The following is a 25,190-nucleotide window of genomic DNA, read 5'->3' as shown; positions in this document are numbered from 1 at the left end:
GGTTCCCAAGTTCCTCTGTATCATGCACCTTCTGTGTCTCTGTCCAGAGAGTTGGGGGAAAGCTATTCCTGCCCTCAGCCTCTTCACCTTCTCTCTAACCTGAAGCTGTCAGCTTGAGAATACCTGGTGGCGCTGCCTAAACCCTCTCAGGTCTTTTTCCCCCTGGTAACAATCATTAGGACTTTACTGTTGGGCTCCAGCTTGGCTCCAGGATGAAAGGAAAGCTGGTCGGGAGTGGGAGGTGGGGGGCGGGGGGAGCAGGGCTGCTTACATGCCCTCCTGCAGCTGGGGAGTTAGAGGTTGGACAGAACACCTCTGGCCCTCCCCAAACAGCCATGGCAGCCCAAGCTCCTCCCTGGCACACGGGCAGGCTCTGAACCCCACTCCAGCTGCTGCCGACTGTGCCTTTAAATTACTGCTTTCGGAGGGTGCATCTAGGGGGAGGTGGGAGGCAGGAAAACATCTTCCTACCGGTCTCCCTCCTCCCTCCCCTCCAAGACTCTTCAGGGTTTGGAGAGTGATTGCTGCCCAGAGAGAATCTTTTCCAGCTCCCAGCTGGCAGGCTAAGGCCCTCCGGAGCCCAAGGCGAGCCCAAGCAGAAGCCAGTAGGGTTATCTGTGTCAGGATCATTTCCAGGGGAATAGTTCTGGCCCCTGGCAGGTAAAGACAGGCCAGAGGAGAAGAGGCAGAAGAGGAGAGAAAGCAGGCTCTTTTGCGAGCAGCCCAGGTTGGAGAAAGGCTCTGTACTTTTGGCGTTCCTGCAGGGATATCCCCTCTCACATTGGCAGCCAGGCTGAGAAAGGGCTTCAAGATCCCCGCAGAATGACAACTCTTGTTCCTGCAACCCTCTCCTTCCTTCTTCTCTGGACCCTGCCAGGGCAGGTCCTCCTCAGGTGAGCTGAGTGGGGGTGAGAAGGAGGTGCATGCAAACACTAGCCAAGGGGGATGGGCAACCTGGGCATCTGGCACACTTTCCTCTAAGTTTGCACAAAGCCCGCAGTCTGGAGGGCTTCAGGGGAGGACACGACCTCCCCCAGTTAGGACCCCAAGAGCTTTTTATTAGAGATGTCAAGGCACCGGTCATGCTGGGAATGTTTCTGCACAGGTGGAAGCTTCCTAGGCCTGGGTAGGGGCTAGGCAACTAAGCCCCAGAATGGAGGGTGTCTGCCCAGCCACCTAACCCTGTTTCCCTATCATCTGGGCCACACACTGCTCAGATCGCTAAAAATGATGGCAACATCTGTCAACTGCCAGCCCAAGAGGCTTCAGGTAGCAGGGGTTTGCCCCAAGACCACATCAGGATGGAGCTGGGCTAGACATTCTTTGGCCTTCTGCAGTCACCCTGCCTGTGCTCACTTGGTTGCTCCCTATTCCTTGAGGGGGAAAAAGTAGCAGTCACTTCCTGGGCTTGCAGGAAAGACAGGCTTTGGGCTCCCTGTAAATGTTCCCCCACCAATTGCCCCTTTCTCATTAGACCAGGAGCCAGCCTAGGTTGGCAGGGTGAGCTGAACAGGAAAGATGGCTGTAGCCTGGGCTGACCTGATCGTAAGAGGAGTGCCTCCCAAGGTGGAGGGGGTCAGTACCACTGCGGCATACTCCTCCTCCTCCTCCTGTTAATCCAAGAAACATCGCAGGGCTGCTTGCGTCTGCAAAGCCTCCTGCCCCACTGTTTGCAGACACATTGGCTGGCAGGCAGGCAGGGATGCAGAGCAGGGCAATAAACTTCTAAAGAGTGAAAAGCAGCTCAAAGTAGAATGGCAGCACAGCTGGAGTTGACAGGAGGATGCAGGCAGAAGGGGGCACCACACTGGGCCTTGCAGGCCCTCCAGGAGGGGAGGCTGCCTCAAAGCTCAAGCTCCAGTAGCAGCATTCCCACTGGGGCTTGGAAAGCAGAGGCAGTTAGAGCAAAACGGGCCCTTAGAGAGTCTGGAGTCCAAGTCCTTCGTTGTACATACGGAAACTGAGGCCTAGAGATGGGGAATGACCTGCCCAGGGTGGCTCAGCTACCTAGCACCAGAGTTAGACTTCTCTCCCTGCGCCACCCCAAGACTTTACATGAGAAAGACTGTCAGCTCTGGATCCTCCTAGGTCCTGAAGGTGTTTAGGACTTTCCAGGAATGAAAGAGAGGAAGGAGTGGCTGCACACGGTGACTCTGCTCTCAGGTCCTCAGACAAGTTAGCCCCAGAAGAGGGTACTGCAACAGGGGCTGGGGACCAAGACTGCTAAGCCCATAGCCTGTCCCAGGATACTAGGTCTAGGCTTAGCAGGAGAGGTGACCTGAGAGTGGGGCTGAGGACGGCGGGGAGGGTCCAGTTTCTCCACGTGCAGGACCATGTGGCCTCCCAGCAGGCAGGTGGCAGGTGGCCAGAAGCAGCAGCAGCACCTGGCTAGCGTGGACATCCTGTGGTGAAGTCACAGACTTCTGCTTGCTCCAGCACCACCACCAGCCTCCTTGGATTTTCAGAGCCTGCCTCTGTCCCCAGGGTAAGGGCTTCCTCTTCCTTAGAAGATTCAAGGAGGCAGGACTCTAGACGGTCAAGGTGGGGCTGCCACTGACCTTCCCCTACTTTGGCTCCTTGGCAGCCCACCCTGGGCTGCCTGCACCATAGTATTGTGATAGATAGAGCTAGTTTTGAAGTCAGTAGCTCTTGATTTGAATCCCGGCTTTACCACTCACTGGCTGCATGATCGTGAAGAATTCACCTCACCTTGCTGATCCTCAGTCTTCTCATTTATATAATGGGGGTAATCATAATACTTAGTTGAGAGGACTAATGTGAGAACTAAACTAGACAGAGTGTGTAAAGCATTTAGCATGGGGCCTTAGCTATTTTTATTATTCTATCGGTCACTGGATAGTACATGGATCTACTGGGAAAGAGGAGCCCACTGGCTAGAAGAAGACTAGTCCCCAGCAGGACAGCAGTTACCCTGCTGCCCAGTCCCACAGTGCGGCAGCGGCAGTGACAGTGGTGGAGTCGGCTATAGAGCAATGACAGCAGGCAGGAGGGAGCAGGAGGTGCCTGGCCCAGCCTGGAGTCCAGCTGAGCTCAGCCCTGAGCACTGCTCCTGTCCCCAAGGCTTTGCTAAGCTCCTAGTCCCTAGTTTATCTGTTAGCTGGCAAGTTGGTAAGTAGGCATATGAAAGGGGCTTTGCTGCTATTAGAGGGAAACCCGTTAGGGGAAAAGGGGGCTGGCTTCTAAGCTATGCCAAAGCACACTGGCTCCTTCCTCAAAATCAAGCTGTTAGCGGGGAAAATACGGGAGTTGACCTCAGCATGTCTACCCTACCAGGAGGCTTTTTCCCATCCCTAGAGTCCTGCTTCCCCACCATAGTTGCCAAAACTAGTTCACCTGCCTGCAGTGGCATGGTCCTTAACTAAAACGTAGCTCAAACATAGCTTCCTGTTGGAGCACACACCAGAAGCCAAAACTCCCTCTTCAGAAGCTGGGTCCTACTTCCTGAGCAGCCCAGCATAAAGCCCAAGCAACTGAAGCCAACTCTCAGAAATACAAGTTGTCCTTGAGCCCTTCCCATCCTTGACTAGGCTAGACGGGCAAAACTTTGTAGTAGCCACATCATTTCCCGCAAGACATCACTCATTGAGTGTTTTCCAAGTACCTTCAGAAAGAGAACACTGGACGAGGCCTCAGCCTAGGGTTTGAGTCCTGACCCTGTCACTAGCTCTGAGACTTTGAACAAGTCAGTCCTCCTTTTGAAGCCTCAGTTTTCTCATCTGTAAAATGGGAATAACAGTCCTCACTCCCATCTCACTGAGAATTGGGAGGGTAAGAAGACCTACTGTCTGTGAAAACACTTTACTAGTACTAACTGGCAGGCTGCCGTGTTGACTTATGGCGTTTTTGTTCTCATTTTGCAAATGGCACCCAGAGACCCATTGTCTTCTATCCTCCTGCCTGAGGGGTATGGAAACTGAGAGTCTGTGATAAGTGCAGCACATAACTGGCCTCAGACTTTTTTACCTCTCCTGTCCAGGGTGGCCTTGGCAAAAGAGGAAGTCAAATCTGGAACCAAGGGGTCCCAGCCCATGTCCCCCTCTGATTTCCTAGACAAACTTATGGGGCGAACATCTGGATATGATGCCAGGATTCGGCCCAATTTTAAAGGTAAGAAATCTTCATCCTATAAAAACTCCTCCCTCCCCACCACCTTTGGCAGCACACTAGCCAGCCAGCCCCTATTGCCTTCCCTAAGGAAAGGAGGCTGGAGGTCCAGGGCTGGGGCTGGTTCTAACAGCTCAGAAGGAGCCTCCTCACCCCATTGTCCATGGGCCTGTGTATCTGGCACTGATTTCTCCCAGCAGTGCCCTGGCCTGCAGCTCAGGGAAGGAGTTCTGGAAGCTGCTCCCAGCCTCCTGGAATGCCCTGCCAATGGCCTGTGCTTTGCTACCCTCAGGCCCACCCGTGAACGTGACCTGCAACATCTTCATCAACAGTTTCAGCTCCATCACCAAGACCACAATGGTAAGGGATCTCCCTGCTCCCCACTTCCAGCCTAGTGTGAGTGGGAGGAGCCCACCAGATAACAAGCTGGCATCTTTTGCCATATCAGCCCAAGGAAGGTTCCTTCTCCAGTGAAAAATGCCTACTGCCCCTGAGATGTGTTCCCAACATTCCTCCTCATGGCCCTCCTGCCCCTACAGGCTTGCTGGGCCCCTGGGAATGGCAATGTTTCTGAAGGGCCCATATCTGCACCCTCCCAGGACTACCGGGTGAATGTCTTCTTGCGGCAACAGTGGAATGACCCACGCCTGTCCTACCGAGAATATCCTGATGACTCTCTGGACCTCGATCCCTCCATGCTGGACTCTATCTGGAAGCCAGACCTCTTCTTTGCTAATGAGAAAGGGGCCAACTTCCATGAGGTGACCACGGACAACAAGTTACTGCGCATCTTCAAGAATGGGAATGTGCTGTACAGCATCAGGTGCACCGGGTGGATAGCCAGGAGAGTTTGCGTTAAGGGGAAGAATTTGGATGAAGACTGAGGGGTGGGAGGAGGGTTCCCTTGCACTGTGATGGGCCCCAGTAAGCCGATGTCACTTCTTTCTTACTGTCCCCACTAGGCTGACCCTCATTTTGTCCTGCCTGATGGACCTCAAGAACTTCCCCATGGACATCCAGACCTGCACGATGCAGCTTGAGAGCTGTAAGTGTCTATATAGAGTCACAGAGAGCCTGGAATAACAGCCAGTTAACCCGACCTCATGACATCACAGACAGGAAAAGGGCCACTCAGAGTTGGGAGGAACTTACTCAAGCACACCCAGCCAATTCTTGGCACAGATGAGACTAGAAACCAGGGGTCCCTAACCCCTAGCCCAGTGTGTTTTTCATCCCCACGTTATTTGCTGATCTGGCTGTTCCATGGGGCTGGGGAACGGGAAGGCATCAGCCTTACGCACAAATGTGTTTGTGCTGTTTTGGGGGGCGATTTGAGCGACATCTTCTCTGCCCAAACGTATGTCCCCTCTCACAGTGCCTGAAGTAGTTCCACCTTTACCTCTCTTGAATTAAGACATTGAAGATGCCTATAAAAATGCCAGAGTGGGCAGGGTGGGGGCACTCGTGGAGCCCTGATTCCCCACAAACATAGATAACCTTTGTAGAGAGGTAGGAGATGACAGTTCTAGGCACAAGACAGTGCCTAGAATGAAGAGGTCAGCCAAGGGCTCCTCTGTGGCAGGGGTGCCAGCCTGGAGGGGCTGCCCAAAGTGCAGAGGAACCAAGGATGACAAGGTTGGGTCATCACTTATTTCCACTCCCTCCTCATCTCCTGGGTCAGGAGAGACTGTTAGATCTGGAGCCATCCACTAGATGTTCACAGAAGAAGGCTTATAAGGCTGTTTCCAGCATAAAATAACTGTGATGAATAGAATGTGTCCTATGTGGTCAGCTCTTTAGAGTTCTTAAACCACTTTCACATCCAGGCTCTCAATATCCCTTCATGGCAACGCTGAATAGTGGGGAGAGCAGCTACTATAATTCCCATTTTACAGAAGGGGAAGCGACTTACCCAAAGTCACAGAGCTACTCTGGGTCAAGGCCCAACACTGGATGTCTGTGAGCCTTGGTGTTTCTGCTCCCATCTCTACCTGACATGTGCAAATATGGTCATATACGTGGCATGAGCCCTCATGAACTGCTATGTATGTGTGAATAACTTGACATGTTCAGACATTAGCTTTAAATTTGCCCCAACTCAAGGCCCTGGCTAGGATCTATGGTATGCACATTGTCCCATGCATGACTGGCAGGATATAAATAGCTGTCTCCTCCCTGAGGTGATGTGGCAGAAGTCCTGGCTCTGAGGCTAGCTCAGCTTAAGACATGTGTTCGGTACACATGCTTACTCCCCTCGGCTTGAGATATGGCAGGAGGCTCCCAGCTGTGTTCCTTGACATCTTTCCAACCCTCTTGACCTGCTTTCTAGGTCTGTCAGAATAATTTCTCTTTGGGCTTTTCTCAAGCTTGAGAACAGGGTAGGAGAGGAGTCTGTAATCTTCCTGATTTACCTGCCCACTCAGGATGGGCCCATGAGACAACTGACCAAGTGTCCTCTCCAGAAAAGTTTTCCTTTCCATAATGAGCATGAAGCTCCTAAACCCCAGACCTTACTCCTCACCTGTTCTCTCCTGCCTGTTCTGATCCTACCCCTACCCCCACCCAGCATCCATACTCTGCAGCCCTCTGCCATCTCTGTCACTTTCAGTTGGCTACACCATGAAAGACCTCGTGTTTGAGTGGCTGGAAGATGCTCCTGCTGTCCAAGTGGCTGAGGGGCTGACTCTGCCCCAGTTTATCTTGCGGGATGAGAAGGATCTAGGCTGTTGTACCAAGCACTACAACACAGGTAAAAACCAGGATCTTTATTGGCTGTGAGCCACAGGAGAACCTTCAGATGTGAGGCAAGGGGACAAGGCAGCTGGCCTCTATCGAAGGTTCAATCTATGTCAGATATGGGGCCAGGTGCTTCATATAACTTATTTATTTGTGACAGCAACTATAAATACCATTTTTCAGAAAGGGAAAACTGAGGTTCTAAGAAGTTAGTTAAATCAAGTGTCCAAGTCGCACAGCTAGTAAATGGCAGATTTAGAATTTAAATCCAAGCCTTCTAACTCCAAAGTCTGTGTTCTTGTTCCTGTCGCATGCTGCAGAGCAAATGACAGTGGGTGGACAGTTTCCCACTTTTCCTGGGGTCAACTTTGTGTGGAAGCGGGGAATCCACATCTGGTAATAGGGAGTGACTATGCTGAACCCAGAGGGAACAAGCCTGAGGGCAGTGGCCAGCTTACAGTCCACACCTCCCACTGTCGCTACCACTGCCAGCTCTCAGGAACTTCCCAGGTGTGAAATGTCAGCTAAGAAGTGGAGAAGGGCTGCTTTCCCAGGCTGAGCATCTGCCCCCCTGCAGCTTCTGTAAGAGTTGCTGGCTCCACATTTTCCCTGACAATTTGTCTGCGCGGAGCTCTGACCCTGAAATAGAGGCAGCAGCCTGAAGAGGGGAGATCCCGGGTCCCTTCCATGGTGGGCTGATATGTTTTGGGTGCTGCCCCATGAATATGTGTGTGCATGTATGTGGGGGTGTGGGGAGTGGGAAGAGGAAAAGGCCATTGAATTTAGAAAATGCAAGGGGGAATGAAAATTGATATAAACTTTTTGGAGTAAAAAAGTTGGCAATTTGTATATAGATCAGTGGTTTTCAAACTTTGGTGTGCACTATATTCCCCTGGGGAGTCTATTAAAATGTTGCCTCCTGGGCTCTACCTCTCAGAGATTCTGATTATGGTTACCTGTACTTGGAGTGATGCCTAGAAATCTGCATTTTAACAAGCATCCTGAGGATTGTGGTGCAGGTGGTCCAGCAAACATGCTTTGAGAAACTTTAGTCTAGAAGCTAAAATTGTGTTTCTACTTATTTATCCAGGAATCCTACTCCTTGAAATGTATTATATGGAAATATTCCAAAATACTGCATTGGCCTTAGACCCCAAGGGGGCTCCTGGGTGGCTGTTTATATTAGCAAAAACTTGGAACTGTTTTAAATATCCACCAATAGGGCAGAGGTTAAGAAAATTACATGTGCGTCTGCTTGGTGGACTAGTATGCAGACATTAAAAGGAATGGTTACAAGGTGCTTATATCAATGTGGGAAAGTAGGAGTGAAAAAAGGTAAGATTCGGAGGTATAAATACAGAATGATTATATTATGGTAAAAGAAACAAACCAAAAGCATGCATTTAAAAACCTTAGGTGGAAATAGCACTAAATGTCTCTAAAGTAATGTGATACAACAGATAAGAGCAAGAACTTTGGAGGCAGATAGAGCTGAGTTTGGATTCTGGCTCCATCATTTACTAGTTGAGCGCCCTTGAGAAATATAATTTAATCTCTTCATGCCTCCGTATTCCTATCTGTAATATGAGAGATAATAATTTTACTTGCCCCAAAGAGTTGCTATAGGATTAAATGAGGTAAAGTCAGGTCCCTTAGTAAGGGTTTGATAAATGTAAGCTTATGAATATTATTATTCCTTCTCTACTTCTTATTTTTTCTATACTAAACAAGTTTTAATTTTGGAATTAAAAACAAAACTGCTATTGCAAAAAAAAGAAGAAGAAGAAGGAAAGAAAGGAAAGAAAGTATAGGTACCTAATAAAGGCATGTCACGGCAAGAATCCCAGGGTGGGATGAAGTGAGGTGGATTCAGGGAACAGTAAGAGGTCACAGCATCATACAATGTGTCAAAGCCATAATCAGTCATTGACAACATCACTGACTTTGAAGAAACAAGTAGGCCTGATAAGACTAGACCTAGGCCAGAATAAAATAACAATATATGCATCTTCTCCTTCTTGCTTGGATTATCCTGAGCCTCTGCTTCCAAGAGAAGCTCTGCGTTAGTATTTTCTTAGCCCTAGGGCCCTGGAAAGCAGAGTAAAGTGAAGTCTGGCAAAGGAGGTGGAGCATTGGTCGGTGTGCCTGGGCCAATGCACTTTTTGTTGGTAGAATAGAATGTTGCAGCCTGATGCTCTATGGGAACCTGCTCCCCGCTGTCTGGAGCTGGTCTCTGTTGGGCACTGTTTTCAGATGTTTGCTATCCGGCTCTTCTCACTTGCTTAAGACACAAGCAGTGTTTATCCCAGTGAATTGTTGTTGCTAGAGAGCTTCTGGGGCACTAGCAAGCACAAGCATGGCCCCTGAGATCTAAGTGGAGTCTAAGCTAATTGTTTTGTTAATAATGATAACAATAGTAACAGCTACCTATGTGTCAAACACCTCAAATACATTATCTTGTTTAATTTTTCCAATAGCCCAGTGATGCAGTTGGTATCACTACTCTGTTTTACAGGCAAGGAAACTGAAGCTCAAAACGCTTGGGTGTTTTGCCCAAAGTCACACAGTGGAAGGTTCAGGATTCAAACCCAGGCAGTCTGACTCTGGAGCCCTCCTGCTCCTTATCCTCTTGCTGTGCAGTCACGTGAAAGGCCTTCCGCTGGAAATGAAAGTGCTGGGAGCCAAAGGCCAAGTCTTTGATGGTCGCTCTGAGAGCTTCCTTAGTACGTACATCTGGCATTACCTGGGGCCATTATGAAAGGCTCATTCATGGGCCCAGCTGAGGTGCCCAGAGGCTGGTCAGTAGAGGGCTGCCCTAATCCTGTCCTAATCCCCTCAGGCTCAGCTACAGGCTGGGTACCTGGGGCCTGACACCTCACCTCTCTCCTTGCAGGGAAATTCACCTGCATCGAGGTAAAGTTTCACCTGGAACGGCAGATGGGCTACTATCTGATTCAGATGTACATCCCCAGCCTACTCATCGTCATCCTGTCCTGGGTCTCCTTCTGGATCAACATGGATGCTGCCCCTGCCCGTGTGGGCCTGGGCATCACCACCGTGCTCACCATGACCACCCAGAGCTCTGGCTCCCGGGCCTCTTTGCCTAAGGTGAAGAGACATGCAAGGGAACTTGCTTGCCATAGAGTACCCCATTTCCCATTCATCCCAATGTGCCCTCCTGCTCACCATTTACCTTGGATTTAAGGTTGAGAAGACCCACTGGGCAAAAGCTGGTGTCCTGCATTCTCTCTCCCTGTAATATACTGCTAATAACATTGTTGACAATGTGGAGGCTGGGGTTAGGGATACTATCTGGCTAGGGAATGAGGAGAGACAGTGCCTTACTTTGACTCTCTTCAGGAAATACTAGCATGTCCAAGGTCAAAAGATCCTCAGCAAGTAGAAAGTCCTACTGCCTCATAATACAAATGAGGAGAATACAGCCCAGAGTGGTAAAATAACCTTCTTAAGATCATGCCTTATAAGAAACAACCAAAACAATATCAGAGTTTTGAACCAATTTCTGTCATCTTACTGTATCAGAAATTAGAAACTATCACAAAGCGCTCTAGAGATATTATCCTTTCTTTTGGGATGAGAAAATTGAGGTAGAAAATAGCAATTAAAGTCAGTGAACTCCAGTTGTCTGGGCCCAGTGATGTTTTGATTACGCAGGAAGATTTGTGCTGATGGGACTGGGCACAGATTCTCCCTGCCTCATGTCTTCATGTAGGGAATTTAGAGGTCACCTCAAAGTCCTTACAGTCAGCAAGGCTCTGAACGAATCAGGGAACAAGGCCATTTATTCATTCAATAAATATTTATTGAGCATGTACTATGTACCAGCCACTGAACTTTGTCATGGAAAAATAACAGGAAGCAAAAGCAACACAGTTCCTTGTGGATCTTACAATGAACATATTCCCTCTTGCACTGATTTGTTGGGAACCAGGCCCTGTGATCTCCCATCTCTCAGTGCTTGTTCCTAAGAAGACTTTTTACTGCGGGCTTACACGGCAGGTAATTTCAGACATCCATGGTGAATTTATGAATTTGCTACATGGCGGGGGTTGGGGAGCTAGTGATTAGGAGTAGGAGATTGGGGTCAGACAGATTTGGGTTTGTCTCCCAGGCTCATCATCTACTAATAATTTACCTTAGGTAAATTCCTTAACCTCTCAATCATCTTGCCTATAACATGGGAATAAGAATATTACCAGTTCCTGCTGGGAGCAGTGGCTCAGGCCTGTGATCCCAGCACTTTGGGAGGCTAAGGCAGGCGGATCACGAGGCCAAGAGTTCGAGACCAGCCTGGCCAACATGGTGAAACCCCATCTCTACTAAGAATACAAAAAAATTAGCTGGGTATGGTGGCGTGTGCCTATAATCCCAGCTCTCGGGAGGCTGAGACAGAAGAACCACTTGAACCTGGGAGGCAGAGGTTGCAGTGAGCTGAGATCGCACCACTGCACTCCAGCCTGGGCAACAGAGCAAGACTCTGTCTCGAGAGAGAAAAAAAAAAAGAATATTACCAGTTCCATAGGGTTATTGCAAAATATAATGTATTAACACACAGGACAGTGTTTGGCACATAATAACCGCTCAATAAATGTTAACTATTGTTATAATTATCAGGTGTCAACGTTGAAAAAACTGAGTGATGAATCTGGGGCTAAAGCAGCTGGTGTTGTCCCTAATTATTTTTGAGTTGTCAGAAACCCTTTGAGGTGATCCAAAACCCTATAGGGATAAATGGTGACAAAACTCAGATCAGAATCACATGTCCCGGGAAACGTTGTTAGAGATCATTTTCTGTAAATGTGTTTCCTAGATGGACAGGGATATTGGCAAGGCTCTGAGAGGCAGGCTGGACTTAGGCAAGGGCTACACGGCCAGACCAGGCTGTGATGGTCGTGTTTTGATAATGATGTTGTAAGGAGACCAGAAGCAGAAAAGTAGTTCAGACCTAAGAACCCTGCCCTAGTTTATTGCCTCTGCCATGCAAGGTGATTCATCTCTAAAGCAGGGAGGTACTGCAATTTATGCCTTATTCTTGCCAAGAGAACTTCCTTTTCTGGTTCCCTCCTGTGAGTGAACATAATCCATCTGCTCCCAGGAATCACTTAGTTTCCTTATTTGGAAAAAAAAAAAAGTCTTTGTTTGAGGGTTGTTTGCAGCATTTGGTACCTTCTTGTCAGATTTTAATGAGTTCTTCATGGCCTCATTGGCCAGTAAGCAAAATATCCAGGCCTGCACCCTGAACTAAATAGCCTCATTAACCAGCCCCTCAGAGCAAGGGACTCAGTAAGCCAGGGACTGTCTGCTCACTCTTGAGTTTGTGCAACATTAAGTTTGGTGGGTGCCCATGAGGTCAGGCCAGGGGCTTCCAAAAGTCACACCAGTCTCACACCCCTAATACAACTCTAGTGTCCAGAATGAGAGTGGTAGGGGCTTACTTTGTAAGGGAACTAGATTGGAGTGGCCATTCCTCATGTTCCCAAGAAACAACTGTTACTTTGCCTTTATGGTGCCACCAAAGGCACTGATTACCATCTCTTTGCCAGGACTTTGATCCCCTCAACTGCAGGGAGCTCAAAGCAGAATGGAAGGACTAAATGGAAATTTATTCCAGAGGCTAGGAGATTAGACCTAAAGTTGCAGCAGGGAAGGAGCCACTTCTATCTAGATCCTATCATCTAAATGGCCTACAGCTATTGGGGCAGGTAGTGGTAAGGAGGGTAGAGAGCAAGCAGAAGCCAGCAGATATACACATCACATGTTGCTAAACCATCTATCTGTTCATTCATTCAAAAAAATATTTACTATAGTCCAGAAACTCAGCTAGGCATTGGAAGCAGAACAGTGATCGAGATAGAAACAGTCCATGCCATCGAAGAGCTCACAGTCTAGTGGAGGGAATGGCCAGGTATGTGATGGATGCTAAGAAGTTGTAGGTAACCTGAGCACATACAGCAGGACAACCGACACAGACTGGGATGATTAGGGAAGGCTTCCCAGGGGATGTGGTATCTAAAATGAGAGCTGAAGGATGAGTAAAAGTTATCCAGGTAAATGAGAGAAAGGTTAGAGGAGATTGGCTCTTTGGGAAACTACTGAAATAGTTCACCACAGCAGATTACAAGGGGTGTGATGAAACTGAACAGGTAGGCAAAGGCTAGATATCATGATAAGGGGAGCAAAGACTGTATCGTAAGGGTAATGGAGAACCACTGAAGGATCATAAAGGGGAGTGATATAATCAGATTTACATTTTGAAAACAACTCTGGCTACTGTTTGGAGAACAGATTGGAGGTGGCAAGAGTAGATGCAAGGAGACCATTCAGAAAACTTGCAACCCTTCAGATGTGCTAGGATAGCGAGTGGACAGATTCCTGAGTTTTTGTTTTTGTTTTTTTGTTTGTTTGTTTGGTTTTGTTTTTTAGACAGAGTCTTGCTCTGTCACCCAGGCTGGAGTGCAGTGACACGATCTCAGCTCATTGCAACCTCTGCCTCCCGGGTTCAAGCAATTCTCCCACCTCAGCCTCCCTAGTAGCTGGGATTACAAGCATGCGCCACCACACCCAGCTAATTTTTTGTGTTTTTAGTAGAGACAGGGTTTGGCTATGTTGGCCAGGCTGATCTTGAACCCCTGGGCTCAAGTGATCTGCCTCTTGGACTCCCAAAGTGCTGGGATTACAGGCATGAGCCACAGCGCCCGGCCGAGATTTCTAAGATGTATTATTGACACACTTATCATTAACAGGACTTTCTTCCTAGTGCTTAAAGTGTCTTTTTCTTTGATGGTCTAAGGACCTTCATGGCCATCTCTTTATAATAATGAGTAATTACCTCATTATTGATCTTAATAGCAGGTATTTGATATCCTTGGGAGCACTGTGGGACTGAGGGATGGTGAATGAAATAGGATGCCCTCTTAGTAAGTGGCAAAGTAGAGACACCAAAGGATGCTTCATCAGGGTTGTCTAGTAACCCACTGCCACCATCTCAGTGACATTGCCCTAAAAGAGTTAGAGCAGGGTTTTTCACCCTTAGCACTCTTGCCATTCGGGGCCAGATAATTCTTTGTTGTGTGTGTGCATGTGTGTGTGTGCATGTCTGTATGTGTGTCTGTGTGTGTCTGTATGTGTCTGTATGTGTGCTTGTGTGTGTGCGTGTCTGTGTGTTGAAGGCCAGGCAGGGAGCTGTGAACTGTAGGATGTTTAGCAGCATCCCTGGCCTGTACCCATTAGATGTCTGTAGCCACCTCCTCCCTCAAAATTGTGCCACCAAAAATGTCTCCAAATATTACCCAATGTACCTGGTGGGGGACGGAGTTGTCCCCAGTTAAGAATCATTGAAGCAGAGGATTTATTTATCCAGTGAAACTTGCTCCTTACCTGGGGTCTGCAGCACCCTCACTTCCCATCATAGCAGTGGCTGATGAAAGAAGTGGCCTGTCCGAAATTCTGTTCTTGCTGGGGTGCGCTATGTGGTAAGCTCAGCAGCTCAAAACTAAGTAGCAGGTAATTTGGTTGAGAAGATGAAAAGGTCTAAACCTGAGCTCTGTCCCCCACTCCTGGCCCCATCCAGCTGCAATGCCTGGAAGAGGCCAGAAAGTGGGAGACAAAAGTACTTAGAGGCTGCCAAGGAAAGCAGTGAGAGGAGAGTACAAAGGACTGGATAGGTGGATGCCAACCACATCTTGCAACTAGCGAAGCATCCTTAAAGGGGTGGGTGGTGTTCCCTCAGTATCCCTGCCCTGTTCTCTCCAGGGTGAGAGATGAGGCCCCAGCTTACTACTGAGCTAAATTCATCAGCAGAGCCTTTCCAAAAGAGCAACAAGGAAAACCACAGGACCAAGGGAAGAACAGGGGTGGAGGAGGGAAAGGAAGGAACTCCTAGTTTGTCAGTGAGACCACAGCCTAAGTAAATGGCAATGCCACTGAATTGAAAGCCCAGAACCCTCAGGTCCTAGTGCCACCTTCTCACTGGGTAATCTTGGCTAAGACCATCTGCTCTGGGCCTTAAGTGTCCTCATGTGTCTCACATCGGAATTGTGAACGCTGCCTGACCAATTACCACTGAGGCTGTGAGGACCCTAGGAGATAACAGAGGGAAGACAAATGCAGTGTTCATGCTCATTGCTGTTTATTGAAACAAAAGAATCAGAAGAAGATCAGAATGAAGACAATAATAAAAAGCAGAAGCAGAAGTACAAGAAGAATAAAGAAAGAAAGGGAAAGAATTGTAGGAAGGAAAAACTTGTAGAAGTAGAGGGTGGAGAGTGCGAAGAGGTGGAGTATGATGGGCAGTCCGATCTTTTCCATCTGGGCTTTCAGACAATGGGATATGTCATGGAAGGCTTCTTTAAACACCAGAAGAAATTCAGGATAAAGCTCAAAAAGAGCAGGCAATCGATAGGGGTTGAAAATCCACTCAGTAGGCCACGGAAGGACTTCAAGAAGGTTGATCGTTCTGTCGCTGGATGTTGTAGGTGTCCTACGTGAAGGCAATCGACATCTGGATGGCTGTGTGTCTGCTCTTTGTGTTCGCTGCCTTGCTGGAGTATGCTGCCATAAATTTTGTTTCTCGTCAGCATAAAGAATTCATACGACTTCGAAGAAGGCAGAGGCGCCAACGCTTGGTGAGTACAACTAGGGAGCGGCCCACTGCCTTTCTCCTTTGGACTCCTTCCTCCCTACTCCGCCTCCCCACAAACCAAGACCCACCCCAGGGCTGCAAGGACTAGATAGGCAATCAGAAACCCTGGATTCATAAGGGCGCAGTGGCTCACGCCTGTAATCCCAGCACTTTGGGAGGCCGAGGTGGGCGGATCACCTGTGGTCGGGAGTTCGAGACCTGCCTGATCAACATGGAGAAGCCCTGTCTCTACTAAAAATACAAAATTAGCCGGGCGTGGTAGCGCATGCCTGTAATCCCAGCTACTTGTGAGGCTGAGGCAGGAGAATCGCTTGAACCCAGGAGGCGGAGTTTGCGGTGAGCCGAGATTGAGCCATTGCACTCCAGCCTGGTCAACAAGAGCAAAACTCCTTCTCAAAAAAAAAAAAGAAAGAAAGAAAGAAAGAAACCTGGATTCTAGTACTAAGCTGGTCACTGTTAAGCTAAGTACTTTAATCTCTTTGATTACTTTAATCTCTTTGATTACTTTAATCTCTTTGATTTTAATCTCTTTGATTACTTTAATCTCTTTGATTCTGTAAGTCAGTATAGTAGATTGATTAAGGGCATGGGCACACTGCTTGACATAGAATAAGCACTGAAGATATGTTAGCTAGTAGTAGAACCTTACCAAGTTAGCTAATAAGAGATTGCTTTGCCAGGCACGGGGGCTCACGCCTGTAATCCCAGCACTTTGGGAGGCCAAGGCGGGTGGATCACAAGGTTAGGAGTTCGAGACCAGCCTGACCAACATGGTGAAACCCTGTCTCTACTAAAAATACAAAAATTAGCCGGTGTGGTGGTGGGCACCTGTAATCCCAGCTACTCAGGAGGCTGAGGCAGGAGAATCACTTGAAGCTGGCAGTGAGCTGAGATCACACCACTGCACTCCAGCCTGGGCAACAGAGTGAGACTCCATCTCAAAAAATAAGTAAATAAATAAATAAATAAAAAGAGATTGCTTTGAGTAGTAATTGCTCCCCCACAACCGGGAGGAAGGTAGCCCAGGTTGTCATACACTAATTGGTGGTTAAGAATTCAACAATCAGGCATTGGTGTCTTTCTAGGGGAGCATTATAAGAGGACCCCCATAACTAAGTTGGAATTGAGAAACCACCACTTGCCTGTTCTGACTGTTGGATTTCTTCTTCTTGATCTTCATTGGGTGCATTAGAGTTGTTGGGCTTGAGTTGTTGTTCTCCCTCACTCTTTTCTGTTAACCTCATTTCTTCTACAGTAAAGTGATCACCTGGGGAAATATAAAAGAAATCTTGTCGTCATGACAACAGAGGCAGTTTACCCCCAATTGCCCAGACAATAGGTGCTAGGTAAGTTGTCATGACAACAGAGGTGCCTGGGCCAGCCTCACAGAAGCAAGTGTCCAATTATGAGCAAAGCTGAAAGGCTTAACTGAGCTACATACTGGTTGCTTAACCATTAGAGACACAGAGTTCTGGTCTGTCTTCAGCTCTGACTCCATGTTTTCTGTCTAATCTGGAGGCTCTAAAGCCAGAGAGGCAAGAGCATAATGACCTCTGGGGGATGGGAAACAATGCTGTGAACCCACTCTTAAAATCCTGACTCTAGCTTGTCTGGGCCACACTAGCACAAGGAATGTTCTCTCCTCAACACACCACCTCCCACCTCAGCTGCTCCAGGGGCACCCCTACCGTATGTCCGCACTAAAAATATCTCACAAACTACCTCCTTGGTTTCATGTCCCTTGCTAAGGTTCCTTTCTGCTGAGGGCAGGGCTCCTGTCTCATCTAGTGGTTTGAATTTATCAGTCCCTACCCTTTAGTCCTTTAGTTGGTCCCTGGGCAGTACGCCCTCTAGTGGACTAATCCACAACTACATGTCCTCGAGTAGGACTCATTCTTCAAGAAACCTAAAAGCATTTCCTAACCCATACCAAGGGTTAGAAAAATATGTGTATACACCTAGCAGAAGGGCAAGAAAAAAGGACACTCCATTTTCTTTTTTCTTTTTTTTTTTTTTTTTGAGACGGAGTCTCGCTCTGTCGCCCAGGCTGTAGTGCAGTGGCGTGATCTGGGCTCACTGCAAGCTCCGCCTCCCGGGTTCACGCCATTCTCCTGCGTCAGCCTCCTGAGTAGCTGGGACTACAGGCGCCCGCCACCACGCCCGGCTAATTTTCTGTATTTTTAGTAGAGACAGGGTTTCACCGTGTTAGCCAGGATGGTCTCGATATCCTGACCTCGTGATCCGCCCGCCTCGGCCTCGCAAAGTGCTGAGATTACAGGCGTGAGCCCCCGCGCCCGGCCAGGACACTCCATTTTCTAAGCTAACTGTCCCCACCCCCTCTTTAGCTGTGTCGAACAAATCTGCCTGCAGGTACCAAGATCTTATCTTTATAGGAGTTTTGATCTTGGTGCCTTCTCAATGCCTACCTTGGAAAAAAAAAAGCAGACTGCCAACCAATCCAGAGTCCTTTCACCAGCTAAGTTGCCTGTATGGATGTCCCAGCAACAAAAAGGCTGCCATTGTTACTGTAGAGCTATTCCAGGTTGACTCTAGTCCCACCTCCTTTCCTGAACTCCTGCAACCCGCAACTGCCTGCAGCCTGTCCCCTCCTGCTCATATATATAGGCTGATCCTGAGCTCATAATGGAGTCTGTCATGACCAGTGCTCAATTATTACAAAGTTACAACAGCAGCCTGGGCCTTGCTTAGGACTCTGGGGCCTGCCTAAAAGTGGGCTGAGGCTTTTTTTAACGTGAATTATTATTATTATTAACGTGAATAAAACTGAAAATCAAACCCGTGCCATTCGTCATGTCCTTTTTTGAGTCTTCTAAAGTCACTGTTATCCCAGGACCTGTAGCAGGTATTTTGGAGGCACCAAGCAGGCTGAAAAAATTGTTGGAGAGTTCATCCATTTCTAGAACCTCTGTCCGGGCCCTACTGCTCCAGCTAGGGAAAAAGAATTCTTCAGTCTGAGAGGGCAGGGAGAAAATCCATGTGATCTCCAGGGAACCCTTAGCCAAGAGTCAGTTAGGAGTGTTCTAGGAACCAGCCAGCCATTCACATCTTTTCTTCTCAACTCTCTCCTCAACCAACAACTCCATAGCATGGTGGCCCCCTTTCATGTCACTGCCTAAAGTGGTTTACTTTTTACCCATGCAATCCTACACTGTCTTCCCGGCTAGTCCATAAGCTTCCCCAGGAAAGGGAAGCTCTTTTTCATCTCCTCAGCAGGCCTTAGCACCAGGCTCTGGACACAGCAGTCATGTAACCCAGCTCACCAACTTTTACAGGCTGATTGGAGAGGACTGTCTTTCAAACTGGACAGAGCAAAAGCTTTGCCATGATCAATAGAATAACTTGATAACTGGAAGAAATTTCAAAATACTGCCCAGTCCTCTCAAGGGCTTGGTCCCAGAACCCTGCCCACCTCTCTTCATCCTCCAGCACCCTCTTCATTCCCCATTCTCTAATCCCTTTTTTTCTAGCCCCTCTCACTTCAATACAAATCACTCTTTCCCATCTCCACACTTTACCTCCTACACTGTGCATTCCCTCCTTAGCGTGGTTTTGAGATATCTTCCCTCTCTAGCTTCTCAGTCCTTCTCCCCTATAGATAGCCAGGGGAAAAAAAGTTCTATTTTAATAGGCATGTAAGCCACAAAGTGGTATTTAAGGCTCCAATGTTCCTTTCCAGCACACACACACACACACACACACCCCACACACAAACACCCCTCAGAATTTGGCCTAAATAGAGAATACCCAAATGCAGGATGCCCCACCCCTGGATTTCAAGCCATTCATCTTTGCTCCTCCAGCTACAACAGGTGCAGTATGTTAAAGTCACAAAAAGCCAAGACCAGCTTACTCTGTTGGCCATATTTTCTCTCCTGTGTGAAATGGCTTTTTCCAGCCTGGGAAATGTGTCCAAATAACTCCCTTTAGATTTATTATGATTGGAGAAAAGGGAAAATAATTAGATCTATAGAAACAGAAATAGCAGTTGGATCCAACTTTCCCCCTCAGAGCTTTTTTGCCAACATCCTTTGCTTACATCCTCTAGCCAGGGTAGGGCTCAGGGGATCAGGGTGAGTACTGGGCAACAGGGTCATCTGAGGGACCCTGAACTGGAAATCAAAGGAGAAAACCATTTTACTTACTCCCCTCATTTTAAAATTATTGCAAAATATTTTGTTTGCCTCTGGTTCTTCACCTCGAAAATGGGTCCAGCACAACCTCCTTTGTCAGAATAGTGTAAAAATGAATTACAGAGTACATGTGAGGTGAACCAAGGCCTGTCTTTATGATGACAGGTCAGTTTCTAGTCATGTCATTATCAAGGGTTACTAGGACCTACAACACCAACATCTCATACACAAAGCCACTTTTCTTTTTTTTTTTCTTTTTCTTTTTTTTTTTTTGAGATGGAGTCTCGCTCTGTCACCCAGGCTAGAGTGCAATAGCGCAATCTCTGCTCACTGCAACCTCCGCCTCGTGGGTTCAAGCGATTCTCCTGCCTCAGCCTACTGAGTAGCTGGGATTACAGGTGCCCGCCACCACGCCTGACTAATTTTTGTATTTTTAGTAGAGAAGAGGTTTCACCATATTGGTCAGGCTGGTCTCGAACTCCTGACTTCGTGATCCGCCAGCTTCGGCCTCTCAAAGTGTTGGGATTACAGGTGTGAGCCACCGTGCCTGGCAAAGCCACTTTTCAGTGTGTTGCCATAGCTGCAGAGGTCCCACGATAAAGACCCTGTGGTGTCCCTCTAACTGAGAGAGACAGAGTGTTTAAAATCTACTTTATCCACATTTTGTATATATCTATGTCATACCTATACAATATACACATATTTTTTTCTTATAACTTATAATAAATACCTCAGGTAGCCACAGGATGACCAGCTCTTCCTGATTTGCCTTGCACTTCCCCAGTTTCAGCCCTGAAAGACCCAAGTCTTAGGAACACCTTCCGTTCTGGACAAACCGAGATGACAGTTTGCATCGTCCTCCAAGAGGCCATTGCACTTCAGGTGATTTCTTAGATACCTGAAACTTTGACTCTAAAACCATGAATACTTTAAGAAATTACCACCATCTTTGAAGGAAGCATTTCTCAACCCTGTCCTTTAGAAGTAAATAAAATTAGGCTTGTTAGGGTTGCATATAAAATAAGACTAAATAGGCTGTGAATGGGGGCCTGAGGGCCTCATATAAGTAAAGCTCTCTCTATTGACACTCAGAGGTTTTGGTTCTCTCTCTCTCTCTCTCTCTCTCTCTCTCGCTCTCTCTTGCTCTCTTTCTCTCTCAACTTTATCTTTCTGTCCCTACTTCCTGGCTCCTAGCTGCGTTTAGCTACTAAAGGTTGTCAGCTAACTATTGGAAAATGGACTTTTGGCAGTCTGCCGCATTACTTAGTGCTTATATAAAATTTACCCCTCACTGGGCATGTGTTTATCCTAATTTGGATAACTCATTGGGTTATTTAAAACTTTTGGAATTTTCAGTTTTAAGTTGAGATAAATTTTAAAAGATACGATTCAAAAGGGGAATGAATTCTGAAGCTTTTGAAAGTCATTAAAGTCAAGTTTACTAAGACTGAATATCTCAACTTCACTATCTAATAGTTTTGTTGTTTTGTTTATTACCAGTCAGAGATAACTTGACATTGAGATGTCCTCTCACAGTGGCCGGCACTTCACTGGATTTTAGATAACTCTAAATGATGTTTTGCATTTTACATGGGTAGCTTAGAGCCTATCTGCCATGGAATCATGACATACACTATATATAGCACGTAGAGCTGCTTAGCATACATCTATCTCATGAGTAGTGTTGTGACCATAAAAAGCATGCAATGGGCCTGTGTACCCAAGGCACCTTGTCTGCATAACATTCCCTATGAGATATTGATGGGTGGTCTGTTCTCTATCCCTCTGCCTTTGAGCTTTGACCTCAAATTCTGCCGTTTCTTCCTTGTAATTCCAGGAGGAAGATATCATCCAAGAAAGTCGTTTCTATTTCCGTGGCTATGGCTTGGGCCACTGCCTGCAGGCAAGAGATGGAGGTCCAATGGAAGGTTCTGGCATTTATAGTCCCCAACCTCCAGCCCCTCTTCTAAGGGAAGGAGAAACCACGCGGAAACTCTACGTGGACTGAGCCAAGAGAATTGACACCATCTCCCGGGCTGTCTTCCCTTTCACTTTCCTCATCTTCAATATCTTCTACTGGGTTGTCTATAAAGTGCTATGGTCAGAAGATATCCACCAGGCTCTGTGAATAGGGTGGGAGCTATAGAGTCCTGCTGCTGGCCTCCTGCTTCCTCCTGGGTGGGCTTTCTCCCTCAGTTAGACTCCATTAGGGGTTTGGACAGTTCCTTCCTGATCTCCCACTCAGAACTTCAACTACCAGTCCCAAAGCTATGTGGGCCTATATTGCATGGTGCCAATGGTGGCTGTACTTATAAAGATGGCTTATCTACCCTAGTCCATATTTTCTCCATACTTTCCCATTTCTCATGAGACTAAGGTTTGGCCACATTCCTGGGGCCAGGATGACCTTCTGCCCTTGCTGGAGCCTCCCTGTTTTCCAATACTCCAGTGGAGAGTATTCAGAACACTGCTGCTAGATTCTGGCATTTGTCATCTTAATCTGCACCACTTCTCCCCCTGCCACCTCCCACCCAGAGCCTGGCCATTACTCTGTCCTCTGTCCCTCCTGCTGCAGATTCAAATGGTGAGTTTCTCCTATCCACAAGTGCTGCCCTGTGGGGCCTAGTCAGGTTTCCTTGAAGTGAGAGGAAGGCAAAGCCGCAAGTTCCCCACCTCTCGAGAGGGTTGGAACAGTCATAGGCTGCACTGGGCTAGCGACTATATGGCCCAACAGAGAGGTGTTCAAGTCTCTTGGGAAGCCCCACACTTTGTCTTCATCCCTTTTCCTATTGCGCTTGTCTGCTCTTTCCTGTTCACTGAGATACTCCTCTTGTCTGTCTCTTAGTTTTGAGGAGAGCGTTCTGAGCTGACCAGGGTAGCTGGTTCAGAAATTACTGTCAGAATTGGGGCAGAGACTTTGGGTTCTCAAAAAGACTAACCTTCCAGATCCACCTGAACATTCTGGTCTCAGAAATATTCGTTCCGTTCCCTAATTAACTAGCATGATGGCAGGATCTGTTGGACAGCTGGGGAGTGTAAAAAAAGAAAAATACTTGTTCTTTAAGAAACTTACTTTATGATGCTAGAAAACTTTTGAGAAAAGTGAGATCCAAGGTAGTGGAACCCAGGAGGAGTAGAATAGAGAAACTATTCTCAGAGTGTCTTTTGTTGGCTGGGCTTTCATTTGTTTCTTCTTTCTCACCAAAGTCTATTTTCCAGGGCCCTTCATTTCCAACCTGGTCTTTCACCTCCTTTTGGTGTGCAAATAAAGGTGCCGCTGCAACCTTGTTAAGGATAGAATGGGCTTCAGGTTTGCTGGGGAGGAACTAGGCACGTAGAAGACCCCTATACTAGATCAACATTGATTTGACCAACATCAGGGTAGAAGTTGTAGAAGTTAAAGAGCCATAATTCAGAGTTGTTTCTTCACCCTTCTTGCTCCACAAGGAGAAGCAGTGAGTAGGTGTAGCAGTCAGTTGAAGCTACCAGAAACGTCAGAATAGAGAGAGTTGGTGTGGAAGAGCCCACTTCAGGCCTGACATACCACTGGGACATGGGGAAGCATGTGCCTGGCACACTGAGACCTTTGAAGTGACCAACTGTGAGTAACTGAAACAGGAGAGATTAAAGTGTGGGACTGACACTGGAAGAAAGAAGTGATCAAATGATCTCTTAGACATCTTGTCCTTTTCTCTGGACCTAGAATAATTAAGCACATAAGTCCAGTCTCTCTCTCTGCTTCTCTCTTTCTCTCTCCTTTTCTCTCTCTCTTCCTCCTTCCCTCCCTCCCTCCCTCCATATGGTGATCCAAATTGAAAGTCAATAAATCCAATGGCCAAAGCTAATCCTATAATCAAACCAAGAGCTTGATTTGTCTTTATCCCTTTTCCTATTGCACTTGTCTGCTCTTTCCTGTTCACTGAGATACTCCTCTTGTCTGTCTCTTAGTTTTGAGGAGAGCATTCTGAGCTGACCAGGGTAGCTGGTCTAGAAATTATTTTTATTGGCAATATTATAACTCTGGTGCCAAGCAGATTTAAAACAAAATAACTGGCATAAGGGAGCAGATTGAATTGAGAAGGGCAGAAAACCCCTGTTTTCCTATTTCTGCCCAGGTAGTGCCAATCAATGAGAGGCCACAAGCAATACTCCTTTGAAAGGAGCAGAGAGCATCTCTTTGATACTCTCCATGGAGGGGCTGGGGTGTCAGGCTGCTGCAGCCCGAAGGCGGGGGTAGCGGGGAGGGTGGACTATGGAGATGAGCTTATTGCACAGAGCTCTACTTGTTATAGATCTTGTCCAGATGGGCCAACTGCACAAATCTGCCCTGTTGGAAGTCTCAAGAACAATGCCCTGGAGACAGCTACAGCACTGAGCAATAGAGCCTGCCCAACTGGGACTCAGATCAGGGCATCAGCTGGTGCTGGGAGCCAAAGAAGCCAAAGTACCAACCAACATAATAGCCCACAGGAGCACACAAAGCCACTCAGAGGCAATGCCAGGTGGAAGGTGCTATTCCTCCCCATTGGAGCCCCCAAGCAGGGAAGGGAGATGCATGGTGTCAGAATCAGGTGCAGATGACTTTCATTTTCCTCACCCTTCCCACATATGTACAGGGGCTGGGAAATACTGGGTCTCACTGGGAGCATCTGTCACCTAGCAATCTCTCAATCATACAATAAAAATTGAACCCTTCTTACCACAGTGAATTGGCAGGAGGTCACAGGAGGCTCACTTGGAGGTTGCTTCCATTTATCATCATTCTTATAGTACTTACCCCTCCAGAGACCACACTACCTTCTGCCTAGATCACATCTGAAGTGATGTTGAGATTTAGAACAGCATTTTTTAAAGAGGAAAAACTTCCTACATAAATAAAGTGTTTTGGGTGTTTTCATTAATTCATTTTTAATATTTAATGCCAGCTAAATATTTTATACATATATTTTTCCAGGGAAAGCGCTTTATTTATTCAGTTGTTGTTAAGGCTATCAGTCCCTCCATCTTCCCTTTGGTTTGCTCTGCTCTCTGGAAAACCACTGGTCTGTCATCTTTTATTGCCTCATTCTACAAGCACAGCCTCTTGTTCTCCCAGAATTCACAGGCAAAGCAAAAAGAGCTTTCTACATGGAAGAAAGGTAGTGAAGAAAATTTATTCCTTTAGCTTTCTCCCATAAGCATTTTTCCCTACCTGTCACCAAAGAATGGGCATGCTTCTAGTTGAAAGGTTATTTGACTCTTGAAGTTATTTTCTCTTTTCACTGGGCCATGCAACTATCTCAACTTTGTCCAGAACATATCACCTCTTGGGAATCTTCCTGTGTGTTCCCACTTGCCTCTCTGCACTCTCAATGGAATATTATTATCTTATCATTTCTTGCTATCAAAATCTTAAATTTGATTTCACTATGTTAGGATTAATGGTCTTCCTAGGCTGTGCTGCTAATGAAAGACAAAATCAACCAAGCATGGGAACCACTAGGGAATTAGGAAGCCAGGTAGCATTATCATCTGCT

The 25,190-nt window shown here is 47.2% G+C and overlaps 1 protein-coding gene and 1 pseudogene across 2 annotated transcripts; one reads left to right on the top strand and one right to left on the bottom strand.

Moving 5' to 3' along the window:
• GLRA4 (glycine receptor alpha 4 (pseudogene)) lies at positions 531-23,532 on the top strand (annotated as a pseudogene). Its single transcript, NR_164162.1, has 9 exons — positions 531-893; positions 3,998-4,128; positions 4,418-4,485; positions 4,725-4,948; positions 5,088-5,170; positions 6,734-6,874; positions 9,755-9,969; positions 15,357-15,506; positions 21,512-23,532. The product of NR_164162.1 is annotated as a glycine receptor alpha 4 (pseudogene) (transcript).
• TMEM31 (transmembrane protein 31) lies at positions 14,994-18,117 on the bottom strand. The gene is made up of 3 exons (NM_182541.2): positions 17,950-18,117; positions 16,666-16,790; positions 14,994-15,432 (listed from the first exon to the last, which is right to left on the bottom strand). Exons 2-3 carry the CDS (start codon positions 16,765-16,767, stop codon positions 15,028-15,030), a joined length of 507 nt encoding a protein of 168 aa, NP_872347.2. The 5' UTR covers positions 16,768-16,790; positions 17,950-18,117; the 3' UTR covers positions 14,994-15,027.

The sequence above is a fragment of the Homo sapiens genome, chromosome X (genome assembly GCF_000001405.40).
Source record: "Homo sapiens chromosome X, GRCh38.p14 Primary Assembly".
NCBI lineage: Eukaryota > Metazoa > Chordata > Mammalia > Primates > Hominidae > Homo > Homo sapiens.
The sequence above is the reverse complement of the archived record's forward strand: the minus strand, read 5'-3'. Positions and strand labels throughout refer to the sequence as shown.

Bases quoted from the DNA above. Each gene is read 5' to 3' on its own strand.
- TMEM31 (NM_182541.2), bottom strand. From the start codon at position 16,767: ATGAGGTTAACAGAAAAGAGTGAGGGAGAACAACAACTCAAGCCCAAC. The intron at 15,433-16,665 runs GCAAGTGGTGGT...AATTTATGGCAG, and splicing joins AAATCCAACAGTCAGAACAG to CATACTCCAGCAAGGCAGCG.